Source organism: Homo sapiens, chromosome 7, assembly GCF_000001405.40.
Source record: "Homo sapiens chromosome 7, GRCh38.p14 Primary Assembly".
NCBI lineage: Eukaryota > Metazoa > Chordata > Mammalia > Primates > Hominidae > Homo > Homo sapiens.
The window spans coordinates 26,673,594-26,686,437 of record NC_000007.14 but is presented as its reverse complement, the minus strand read 5'-3'; the positions used below and the strand labels follow the sequence as shown (position 1 = coordinate 26,686,437).

At 36.1% G+C, this 12,844-nt stretch overlaps 1 protein-coding gene across 4 annotated transcripts in view; it reads left to right on the top strand.

The window, feature by feature from the left end:
* Positions 1-12,844, top strand: part of SKAP2 (src kinase associated phosphoprotein 2) — a 209,821-nt gene that overhangs the window by 178,153 nt on the left and 18,824 nt on the right. For all 4 annotated transcript variants that reach the window (XM_017012771.3, NM_003930.5, NM_001303468.2 and 1 more), the window contains one exon: positions 1,590-1,702. In XM_017012771.3, coding sequence (XP_016868260.1) covers positions 1,590-1,702 — 113 coding nt within the window. The remainder of the gene's footprint in view (positions 1-1,589; positions 1,703-12,844) is intronic.

Here is a 12,844-nt window from a genome sequence, read left to right as displayed (position 1 = left end):
CTGCAGGTACGTGATGAGTGCTCAGATGCTAGTGTGGAGAAGTCAATAAGGTATCTGTCTCTCCCACTGCCTCCTCCTTTCTCTTCCTCCTTCTCTCTCCACTCCCATTGTCCCTTGTTTTTTTAATTCTTAGAAAACAAGAGACAAAATTTAATAGAGGGATTTTACTAGGTTGTATATTTTCTAGTCCATCTTTATTTTCTTATAAGCAAAAAGTAGCATTCTATTTGCTAAATATTCAGACTCCATATTATTCAGATTCTCTTTTTTTTGGCTTTAAAATATTTCTTATATTAAAGAGAATTTTAAAATTTTCTAGTAAACCTAACACTTTGTATAAATCACAAAAAATGTGTAATAAGATGAACACCCTAATGACATGCTAATCTGACTAGTTGTGTTGGAATCACCAAAAAGCCTGCTGTTTGAGAGCCATGTAACAATACTGAGATGACAACCCTGGTCCAGCCTGTGTCTCCACAGTTATCCCCTCAGAATTCAAAGATGACATTCCAGTGATGGAAGTTGTTAGCACGTATATATTCTGCCTGGCTAGTGAACACACGGACATCTTATTGATATTACTTGCATTCTTTTTGTGTTAACTCATCAAAACTCAATTATCATGAAATTGAAAACAGGAAACAGTTCTTAGTGTAACAAAAGCGTCTAGTGTGTTTAGCTGTGTTCCGTGTTTCAGGAGATCTGCACTGTATAAGTGACAAAGCATTTATTACCCATTTATTGTGGTCTTACAGAGTGGAAAGTGCTAAATAATCAATCAGTTAATGGTCTGTATGGCAGTTTGAGCACATCACATCCATTGTGCTTATGCTGTTAGAAGGATGAGCTGATACTCCAGTGTATGTTGCATGTTTATTTAGAGCCTAATGTCCTAAACCGGGGCTGACAAAAATCGGTTGAAAAATGCAGCTTCAACACTGGCAATTTCAAAGTTGCTAAAAATTTTCAAAGATAACTTTGGCTTTGGGTACAAATGTCCCTAAAGAAAATTGCTGCAATTACTCTTTATACCGTTTCCACGTTGTTGTCTTTCATTAACCAGCTCTAGGGTTTAGTATTTTTTTTTTAATTTTGGTTCCTTAGTTTTGGTTTTATATTTGTACATTAGCTCCTTTACTATTATTATTTTCATGAAGTGTCCCAAATTCTGTGAGATGGTTATTTCACAAAGTGTGTGTCACATCTCATGGATATTGCTCATTGTGAAGTGTGGCAGACACATCTTCAAAACATGTTGCAAGTGGGCTTAGGTTTGTTATTTAAAATAAGTGGGAAGCAACTTTTAGGTGCTGGTTTGATGACAGCATATAGCAATTACAGATTTTAGATGAAAGGCAGAAAAAGAAAAGCAGAAATTCAAAATCAGATCTTTTTGAAAGCGGTCTTAAGAGGATAGTGAGACGTAGGATTCATGTGAATGTAATAAAGTATTCGTTTACTCAGGACATAATTTTTTTAGACTATTTTAGTGATCTAGGGCATCATTTAATTTCTACTGGTTAATTTTGAAATGAGGGGTTATTACATGAAGGCCCTAATTCATGCTTTCTCTTTCTTCTTCCTAGGGGATAAGAGCACTGATTATGCTAATTTTTACCAGGGATTGTGGGATTGTACTGGAGCTTTTTCTGATGAGTTGTCATTTAAGCGTGGTGATGTGATTTACATTCTTAGCAAGGTAAGAAGATACCCCAAAATGACGTTTGTAAAGAGGGAATACAAAGCTCGATTTTTAATGCATTTGGATTTACAGAGCTAGGGAAGAATGCCAATTGGAATTCTTCTAGGTCCTTGTTAACAATTGGGAGTTCACAATAATTAATTATTTTGTCAAGTGAAATGTAATCAAATTTTAAACACAATCAGATAACAGGATTCAACTTAACAGTGTGTTTACCTATCACTTCAGCCCTTGGCTGACATCCACCTACTGCCTTCTCCAGAAACAATATACTTATGTGAAAGTTAACATTGTAAGGTATTAGATTATTTATTATGCTTTTCTTTCCTCTTCCTTTTTATTCTTCTGTGTGCTTATTCTGATTTTGTCTGCCATTCACTACTGGAAACACTATGTTTATAGAACAAGTTTTTCATCTTTATGTAAATATGTTGGGTGTTCCGGCAATTTAAAAGCAATGCTTTTCTATTCAGACAGGCTTAGGTAATTTTTTAAGTTGTTTAGCATACTATATTTGTAAACAAAATGGCAAAGTATAATTCTATAAACCCATCTTCATATATATATATGTATATGTGTGTGTGTATATACATAAATTCTTGTGTCTGCTTCTTAAAATACTGGATTATTCAGAATCTTTTTGTCCTTAGATCTAAAAGTCAAGTTTCTTATTGTGATTATACTTTTGGTAATGTATGTGAGCTCCCTTAATTTTCATATTTTAATTTCCCCTATCGTAATATGGGGATTTAAAAATTTCCCTCTGTCTACTTACAAGACTACTTTAGAAACAAATGATGTAGGAAAACAGTTGAAATATAAGTAGAAAAATGTTAAATCATAAGTCTAGGAGGTTGATGTGGTTTCTTTCTTGATTAGAGAAATATTTTGGACTTTTCAGAGAGATAGTATGACTTGTTAGAGGCAGAAGACAATTTGGAAAGAAGGCCACATACTGAATTTTAACAGTAGATGGCTGGTGCATAAAATCATAACACAGAGAATCATCGAACATTAGAGTGATGAGTCTCAATGATGATAATCTAATTCTTGGTTTTATAGATAAAGGAACTTGGGTCAAGAAAATGCCAGAGTCATGATTTGAGCTGTGTCTTGACTCCCAGACCAGTGCTTTTCCCTTTGTTTTCTTTCCTGTGCTCCTTCTTTCCTTCCTTCCTTCCTTCCTTCCTTCCTTCCATCCATCCATCATAAAGCACCTGCAGTGTGCCAGGACCCACTCTGACAACTGTGATAAAATAAATAAAGCCAACTGTGATAATTGCTAGTTAGGGTGCCCAAAGCTAAGGCTGGTCACTTATTTCTCTCAGTCTTCTGCTCATTAGCATGGGTTTTTGTTACTGTTGTTCCCAGAAAGATGTTTTAAGTTCTTGGACGCTATAGATAGTCACATCACAACTCTTGATTAAGCCTGTTATTAAGCATTAAATTGTCCTGAGTTAAGATAACAGCTTTTTGGTTAACTACTTAATAAAGAAATCAAACTGATTAGTTTCAGCTCCTGTCAAGAAACTTTCTTGGAATCATTCCTAAATTTATATAGCTCACAGTCTTTTTAAAACCAATTTAGCTGCAATTGTGTATAAAACTAAAACGTTGATTAGATTTCACTTGCAAGTTCAGATTATAGGAGTGAGTGGCATATAGCTATTATACTCCTTTTGTAAATATGAAATTTATAAAGCCCATGTGGATCTATTTGTAAAACCCTCTTTATGAATCAGGTTGTCTTTGTTGCTGAAAGCCTGGGTAGAGCACCGGCTTCCAGAACTGGCTGTGAAACAAGCCACCATAGGCATCTCTTGTTTCTACTGTTGCCTCAGGAAATAATTTTCAGTTAACATGAAATTAAAAGTATAATCATAGGTGTGTATCATACTTTTAGGATTCCGAAGGAGGCAGTTCCTGTTTTGTGGAGACTAATTTTATTTGTGAAGCCTGATTAGAGAACAAAGGTTAAAGGTGTTCCAGCCCATGGGAAGCACATACTTCCATCTAACATTTTTAAATGCTATTATTTGGGAGAGAGCTGATCGAAAGTACTTCCTCTGCCAGTGTTTTGCAAGGCTTGAAGTTTCACCATCATGATCATATTTATTAAGGGCCTTCTAGAGATGTGTAATTTACCTGGGGTTCATTTTGGAGTTTGAAAAAAGAGCCAAGAAAGAAGACCCTGTTCGCCAGCATGTTATTACCTTTGGCTGAATAAGGTTCAGTGTTCATCGTTACTCAGCTGTGGACCTAGTGGAATCAACCTGGTAAATCTTGGTGAGGATAAAAAGGAGAAGACATTTAGCTTTCCTTGATGAGATTTGGACATATTCTGGGCTATTGATGGGTGTCTTGGCTGCGAGTAGACAGGTTGCTTTGGGTTGAGTATATGTTTGTCTTTGAAGACTTACTTCCTTACCTTCCTTCAGACAAATTCAGCTAGGAATCTCTTGAGACTTTCTAGTAGTCTTTATTGACTTGGCCTTCCAGTTTTATTGAAACTTTGGCAAACTCAGACTGTAAGTTAATACCATAAATTCATTTAATATGTGAATAACTGCAATTTTGAATGCTTGATATTATTACAAATTAAGTACAATTAGTATAGAAACCACTAGCATTTTTAGGTGCCTCGCAGTGTGTTTAATTGAGTTTCTCAGAGTTATATTAAGATTTTGTGGTGATGGGATGAAATTTTACCTTTCTGTTTTTTTTTACGCCATCTAGTGGCTCAGAATGAGTGGTGCAGGTAATTGCAGCTGTTGTACACAATCAAAATGGTGTCATAAATTCAACTTTAAATCCAGCTATGGGTTATTACTTTCCTATTCCATGTCAATAAAATATTAGCATTAATCATGAAAAACTTTGTTCATCATTCTGAATTAAATATAGAAATTGTATATATAAGGAAGAATACATTTTAAGGATTCTAAAATAGTATTTGTAGAGATACAGGAAATGTGTACTTTGTAAAGAAATTAATGCCATGACTTGTCTGTTAATAATAAATAAGACCATTTAAAAGATTTTAAAGATATGCAGCTTTCTTTTAGTAATGGACTCATTTATAATTTGAAATACCAAATTATCACTGTTTGATTTACCTTCTAAAAGTGTGTCAGTTCTGAAAATATTCTTTAAAAAGGCAACATAAAATAGTTTAAGAAAAGATGCATACTTTCAATATAAATAAACATTTAGGCAAAACAAGAAATAAAATCCCATGCATTATAATGAAGAGTGTTTTAATTTTGTTTTTTGTTTGTTTGTTTGTTTTGAGATGGAGTCTCACTCTGTTGCCCAGGCTGGAGTGCAATGGCACGATCTCGGCTCACCGCAACCGCTGCCTCCCAGGTTTAAGCGATTCTCCTGCCTCAGCCTCCCAAGTAGCTGAGAGTGTGCCACCACACCCAGCTAATTTTTGCATTTTTAGTAGAGATGGGGTTTCACTGTTCTCTGGTCAGGCTGGTCTCGAACTCCTGACCTCAGGTGATCTGCCCGCCTCGGCCTCCCAAAGTGCTGGGATTAGAGGCATGAGCCACTGCACCCGGCAAGTGTTTTAATTTTGTAAATGTAATGGCAGAAAAACATTTAACTAGCTTGGGGATTAGGTTGTTTTCATTTAAAAATCACTACAGAAATATAGTTTTATTTAAAAATTCAATATATTATTTTCTGTTTTGCAAGAAAGCCTTGATGGAATGTTAGCTGTGCTCAGTCAACCTGGGGGTGATTTATTTATTTTAGGCCTCTTTTGAAAGTTATACAAATCTAAGCCTTTATTTTTTTTTTTCTTCTGGTGCAAATCAAATGTTGCAATAAAGAAAGAAGAGTAGGCAGATACTGTGCCCTTCCTCCTTCCCTTTTTAACATTTTCCAATTAGCAGCTATCATGTGACCCCTGGCTGAGATAGCCCCTCCTTCAAAGTGTCCAGCATTTCCTTAGGTTTCACCTTTGAACCTCACTAATAATAAATCTAAACACCGCCTGCCTTAAAAGGCAAGCCAGTACTTTTTGCTTTATACTTCTATTCACATAGGGTTGCTGCTGTTTTTTTATGTGTTAAAATTAAAAGCTTCAGTAGTTCAGTGGAGATTTGGAAATCTCTTTTTTCTCTTAAAAAATGGATCAAATTTATAATGACTGATGAAAGCAGAATTTGTGATTTTAATGACAGTTGTATTGTTAGTGAATTAACAATTGGTTTCAGATTCATTTGATGGGGGAAAATCATATTTGAGATAGAAAACCTGTATTTCCTTAAGAAATTGGGTTGTTTAAAATAATGCTAAATATTTTTGTTAGTTTTCATTTCATTTTTATTACCACTAAATAAAACAGGAACATAATATTATAGCTAACAGTATTTTCCTAGAACCATGTTTTTGAAATTTTATCATTTTAATAGCAGGATCCAGATTATATAGCAATAGGTATATTCTGAGGTCCCAAATGCCTTTTTGGTTATGTTATTCTATCTTGCTCTTCTGGATTTCTATCCTCTATTAGTTTATCTTTCAATCTGTACTCATCATTAATTTGCAAACCACATTGCTATACTTACTTTTAAAGCAATAAACTATTTTTAGAGATTTAATAACAGACAAGCTATACTTCAGAAAAGAGGCACAGTACTTTGATATTAAAAGAAAAATGAGAGTTAAGAATTCTGGAATATTTTATCTAGTCTAGGGCATATGCGACTAGCTTTGCAGCCTTTGAGAAACTTTTTATTAAGTCAAACACAGGAAATGTAGGTTAAGACTGTGGTCACCAATATAAAATAAAAGGGTACTTTTTGGTGTATATTGGTTGGAGTTTCAAGCAGTACCTCCCTTTATATCTGTTTGGTTGACTTTTTCCAGTGATTGGTGAATTGTGACTGTCATTGACCATTTGCTTCTCATTGTAAGAATGTAAAGGTTAAGTTACTATGGCTTTTTTTGGCTTCAAACCTATGTTAATAAATGAAATGAAAGTCTTGTTGAGCTTTATTGGCAGAGGGAAATAAGTTACTTTTTAGCTGTCTTAGTTTTTCATTTGTAACCGTATGACCCAGTATGCCACAAATAGCGTGGCCAACTGCTGCAGAGTAACTAGGATATCTGAATGTGGGACATGCATTGTTGACACTAAGCTAGCTCCAAAATGTTATATTTTATAGCCTTTTGATAAGAAGAAGTGTTTGTATTTGTGCTTGCATTTGTTTGCTCCGATGACATTTAGTTTGTATGCTGTCAGTATGGATGTATGGTCTAGAGTACACTGGAAGCATTAACCAGGCCAACCTCCTATTTAGTACCCATCTCCTCCTAGGAGTGAAAAGCAGTTTATGGACACAACACCATGTCAGAAAATGTTCTAGTTCTACTCATAGGACTCCTCTTGTTATCTGTTTGTGAACAATATGCTTAAGTACTTCCCTACTTTCTCTTACATAAATTGGAGGAAACATTCCAGAAAAATGTTGGCAGATGAAAGCAAAAGGTGCTTATAGGAGGCAGGCTGGCAGCTGCAGCCCTTGCAATGGCCTGACAGGTAGAGGAAAAGCCAGAAGGCAGTGTCAGAGAGGCAAGGTGAGCAGAGGTGGCAGTGGAGGGGGCTGCTTTGGAAAGGAGCCCACCTGTAAGGCCTATGTGATTTACTTCAGCATGAATAACTAAGAGTTTGGCAGCAGCAAAACAAAACCTTAAAGAAAAGCACTACGTTGATATTTTTTTTAATTCTCAGTTGAACAATTCATGATTTCAGCCTTGAAAATGAGGAACTCCCTCAGTGTGTATAGCATACTTTCACTCTTTTGAGATGTCTTCTTCCTCATCCCTTTAGAACATGGAGCTAGATATTCCAGGGAAATCATTAGGCATAGAGACTAGAGATAGACTACTGATTAAGAAAAGTTTTAGAGTCGATATTTAGTAAATTATAGATAAGTGACAGATGTTCATTGAGTATTCAGCTATCAAGGAACAACCAGCATGCCAGGTATTGTGGCTCACTCCTGTAATCCCAGCACTTTGGGAGGCCGAGGCAGGAGGATCACTTGAAGTCAGGAGTTCGAGACCAACCTGGCCAACATGGTGAAACCCCGTCTCTACTAAAAATAGAAAAATTACCTGGGCGTGGTGGTGCGCACCTGTAGTCCCAGCTACTTGGGAAGCTGAGGCAGGAGAATCACTTGAACCCGGGAAGTAGAGGTTGCAGTGAGCTGAGATTGTACCACTGCACTCCAGCCTGGTGACAGAGCATGACTCCATCTCAAAAAAAAAAAAAAAAAGAACAACCAGTTAAAATTGTAATAAAATGTTATATTCCTCAAATACTTGTTCTCTTTGGGAGAAGATAAGATTCTCTTTGGAAGAGCAGGGTGGAGACCTGCTCATAATAATCAGATTGCCTTATAGTGCGTCCCAAAGTACTCTGTTTTTTTGTTGTTGCCATAATACTTTGCTATACCAATTAGTGGGCAGGGAGTGGGGGAGGGAATGAAAAAGTGTTTATTGAGCATTTACAATGTCCTGTTCTAGGTACTTAATATGCTTTCACACATATAATTAATATAATAACCCTGTGAAGTAGATGATGTTATAATTTTACAGATTAGGAAACTGATGTGCAGTAAGGTTATTATGGAAATTATCTGAGGATACGCAGCTATTAAGTGCCTTCTCCAGGTATCAATACAGGTCTGACCCTAAAGCCTTTTCTCTTTCTACTTTGCTACGGTTAAGTGGGACTTGATTAGGACTTTAACTTTTCTTCTATATCAGAGGTTAATTGTAATTATCACATCCCAGTTCTAAACAACAGCGAACCATGTTATTGACAGTATCTTTTACATAATTAAATCTTGTATAGATGGTCAAAATTATTTCATTTTCTAATCAACAAATATTTGGTGAACACTCATGCAAAGTACTATTTTGAGCAGGATCCAGAAAAGCCACAAACTGTTATTCAAGGAGACTGCAATTAAGTCGAAGAGAAGACCAATGCATAAAATAGATAATAGCAATAAAACACAATGTAGGGTATCAGTGTTGTAGTCCTGGAGAATCCCAGAAGAAAGGGAAGTCAGTAAATACTGGAGTAAGTAAGTAATGAAAGATTCATAGGAAATGGAACTTGAACTGGAACTTTATGTATAAATGGAGTTTATTCATTTAACAAATATGAATGCTTATTTTCTGTGTCTATTACATATAAAACCTAGAAGAACGGCTGTGCTATGGAAAGGGGTGGATGGCTATATTGATGAAAGGGGAGCATAGAGCCAATAGACATCAGTCATTCAGGATCACTTCTTTTTTTTTTTTTTTTTTTTTATTGAGACAGAGTCTTGCTCTGTCACCCAGGCTGGGGTGCAGTGATGCAATTTCAGCTCACTGCAACCTCTGCCTCCCGGGTTCAAGCATTTCTCCTGCCTCAGCCTCCCAAGTAGCTGGGATTACAGGCTCCTGCCACCATGCCCGGCTAATTTTTTGTATTTTTAGTAGACATAGGGTTTCACCATGTTGGCCAGGCTGGTCTTGAACTCCTGACTTCAGGTGATCCTCCCGCCTCGGCCTCCCAAAGTGCTGGGATTACAGGCATGAGCCATCACTTCTCTTTCCTTACCTTGGAGAATGGTAGGCAGCCAGAGAAACCCTGTGAGAAACCAAATCAACCTGATGTTTCCAAGCTAGTTTTTCTACAGCAGCTTACACCACTTTTCCCTTATCTTCGCCTGTACCTTGTGTGTTAACCACACTCTCAACTACTTACTCTTCACTGAACACAGCACATTCTTTTATCTCTGCAGGCCTTCACGCCTGCCATGTATTGCTCCTTTCATTATTCCTTCTGGAGTCTCAGCCCAGCTGTCACTTTCTATGTAAAGTCTCTCAGATCCTGCTGTAGGATTAGTTGCTTCTCTTTTTACAAACTTTTTCCCTCTCTTACCTAACATTCAATATAATGATTACCTGTTTCTCTGGCTTTCTGTCTAAACTTTGAACTTCTTGAGGTAGACACTGTGTCTTAAATATTTTTGTATCCCAATATGTTAACAGTATGGCAGATAGATGTTTACTATGCTTTTACCAAAATACAGTTAACAACAGGAAATAATCCTGACTTCTTAAAAGAACTTAGAATGATAGGATCATAGAGTGAGGGGGACCTTAGTGCTAGCCCTTCACTTTATAGGTAAAGAAATCGAGGCTCAACATAATAAGGGAAAAAGAAATAAAAGCCCAAAGGAAAAATGGACCACTCCTACAGAGACCTCCAAAGACAATGGTGTTTCTGAGGTTGTACTTCCACCTTGGCCCTGAACTTCTTGGCAGCCAAACCAAAAAAGGGAGAGATGGGAGCTAGTAATTTCTTTTAATCATAAAGGAAGGATCTTGGCTTTTCCCAGCACTGGCTACTTAAATATTCTTACATGAATTTCTAGACTCTGCCCTGAATATCTGGCCTCAACAACTTTACATAAATAAGTGCATAAGTGGCAGGTATTGGCCTCAACAAAAACTTTTCATAGTAAATATAATAAAAGATTTTATAAAGGGAATTCTGTGAGGGTCCAAATGTATAATAATTAGACTTATTGATATATATTAAGTACCTAAGTGCACTATTGTAGAGTCTCAATGAAGAATATAAATATAAACAAAAAAGATAAGGAGCTGAAAAAACCAGGAGATTTTCCATTCTACCTGTCATACTATTTTTTGCCTTTGCAAAATTCTGTCTTAACTTCTTTCAGTGCTTACAAGTAAGTTAAACTGAATTCATTTTTTCCAAGAACTGGAATTAGTTGGTCCCTGTTCCAATGTGGACAAATACCTTCTTTCTGCACATGGGATTTAAGCTTTTTAGACAAGGCACATCCCATGTAGTACATTTGAAAACATGGTGGCAACAGCCTGCCACAGGTGGGAACAGCATGCTCCTTCAGATCGCCCACTCAGCTACATGTGAATGCTTCAGAACAAATGCTTGTTTCGTCACTACTACAATTCTTTAACTATGCCTAATATACACAAAAGAAAATACATTACTATTGGAAATTACATTTCTTAAGAAAATATTTAGGATAGTCAACTGGTGCATCATCCAAAATGAAGACTTAGTCTATTTAATCATCTAGTACCTACTTATGGAACATCTTTTATATCTCCTGCAGTGGGAGGCATACAGATTAAGTGTAAGTCCTTCCTCTGATCTTAATGAGTTTGTACTTTATTTTAGTTGAAGGAATAAAACTAATGTACGTAAAATCTACTGAGGAATAAATGCTTAGCTTGAAATGAGAGATATAAATATGGATTAGCTAATTCAGAGAAAAAATCATGACAGCTGAGTCAGGTCTTAGTCATTGGACAGGATTTGGCTGAGGGAGAGGAGATGTCTCTGGGAAGGAAGCACTACATACAGAGGTAGAATGAGTGTAGTGCGGCAGGTTGTATTGTGCCAGCTAGAACAGTGACAGGAAAAGGTTGCCAGCAGGGTGGGAACAAGCTAAAGTCTACAGTTAATGCAGTGGAGAGTTAGTGTAAGTTTTTGAGCAGCAGGGTAAACTGATGAAAAGAGTTCCCGGGAAGAACAGAGAGGCACCATTGATAATGCAGTAATCCAGGGCAAGGTGATGAAGGCCTGAATTAGTGGTGCCAGTGAGAATAAAGTGGAATGGGTGAACCTGAGAACAGTTAATAGAGTCATGTAGGTAAAATACCATACACTGAATACCAAAGTCACTCTCTACTGAGCATGACATGATCTTCTTTGCCTAACATTATCTGCGAATCACCAGTCTGAATGTCAGGTTTTACTCTATGGTATTGTAACTGTCAACTTTGTAGAAATTGGAATTAACTATAGCATGACTCAGGGATATAAACTAAAATTTCTTATGAGAATTCTTACTGTCAGCTTCCTTGTTTTTGTCTCTCTTGCTTTAAAAATGGAGTATACAATGCAAGGAGGAAAAACAGTAATTCTTTGAATTAGAGGAACTCAAAGTCACACCTGCAAAGTAAATTGCAAAGTAATGAGATTGATCTCCGTACACCACTAGAGAACTTAGTGTCTTCAATCAGGTTCCTGAATGGTGGTGCTCAAACATCATGGAGGTCCTTAGAGATTGTGTCAGTTTCCTCATTTAACAGGTTAGGAATCTAAGATTCAAGTAGTTAATGTATAGATAGTAATAGTAAAACGCCGAGGTTGTACAGTTCCTGTTGTGCATTTATAAAGATAACCTTTTGAAACAATGAATGTATGAGAAATGAGAGGATTCTTACAAAGTTTCTAATCGGAGTTAATAAAAAAGAGACTAAAGAGGTAGCCTTGATGAAAGTATTTATACACTTTAAATAGGTATCTAGTTTTCATAGTATTACAGTGTTTATGAATAAAGATATCACAATGAAGAATACTTGGAAAACAACAGTCAAGTCCATTGGTTCTTAAACTTGCTGTATTTTATGTTTTGTGAATAAAATTACTTTCATTTTCACAAAAGGCTGGTGTGTTTTGAAGCACAGATATATGTTTGGAAAAGGACACAAATTTTTTTTAACATTGCAAACACCTGTTGCTTTCAAACACATCGGTAACTAATTTCTGAAAGGGTTAGTACATTATTAAATCTTTTAATGTTTCAGGTTTCTGTTAAGTCAGCATTCTTTTACCATATCATTCGCAGAAAGCGGATTAACATACTCGATAAATGACAGTCATGGTGCTGAAAAAGATTTAAGTAAATGTTGGGGCCTTATTTAAGTGTAAAATAATATTCCAGCAGAGAAAGAAGATTTAGTTAATGAGTAAATATTACTATTATGTTGGATAAAGTCTCTGTTTCACTTTATCATAACTAGTCCTTTTTCCTGCCTTCTTACCCAGTCACTCTTACTGCTCAATAAATATTAATTGGGGACTAAAATTTCAACTACAAAATAAAACAAATAAAATGACTATAATGGTATGAAAATTGAAAACATGGGAGTTAGATCACAAGCATTCACTACCGCCTTACTATTATTTTCTCGGATTACTGGGCAAGTTTGGCTTTTTTTTGCTTCTTTGATTGCCACACTACATTTTGCCTTGAAGCCATCCATTTTGCAGATATTGAATTT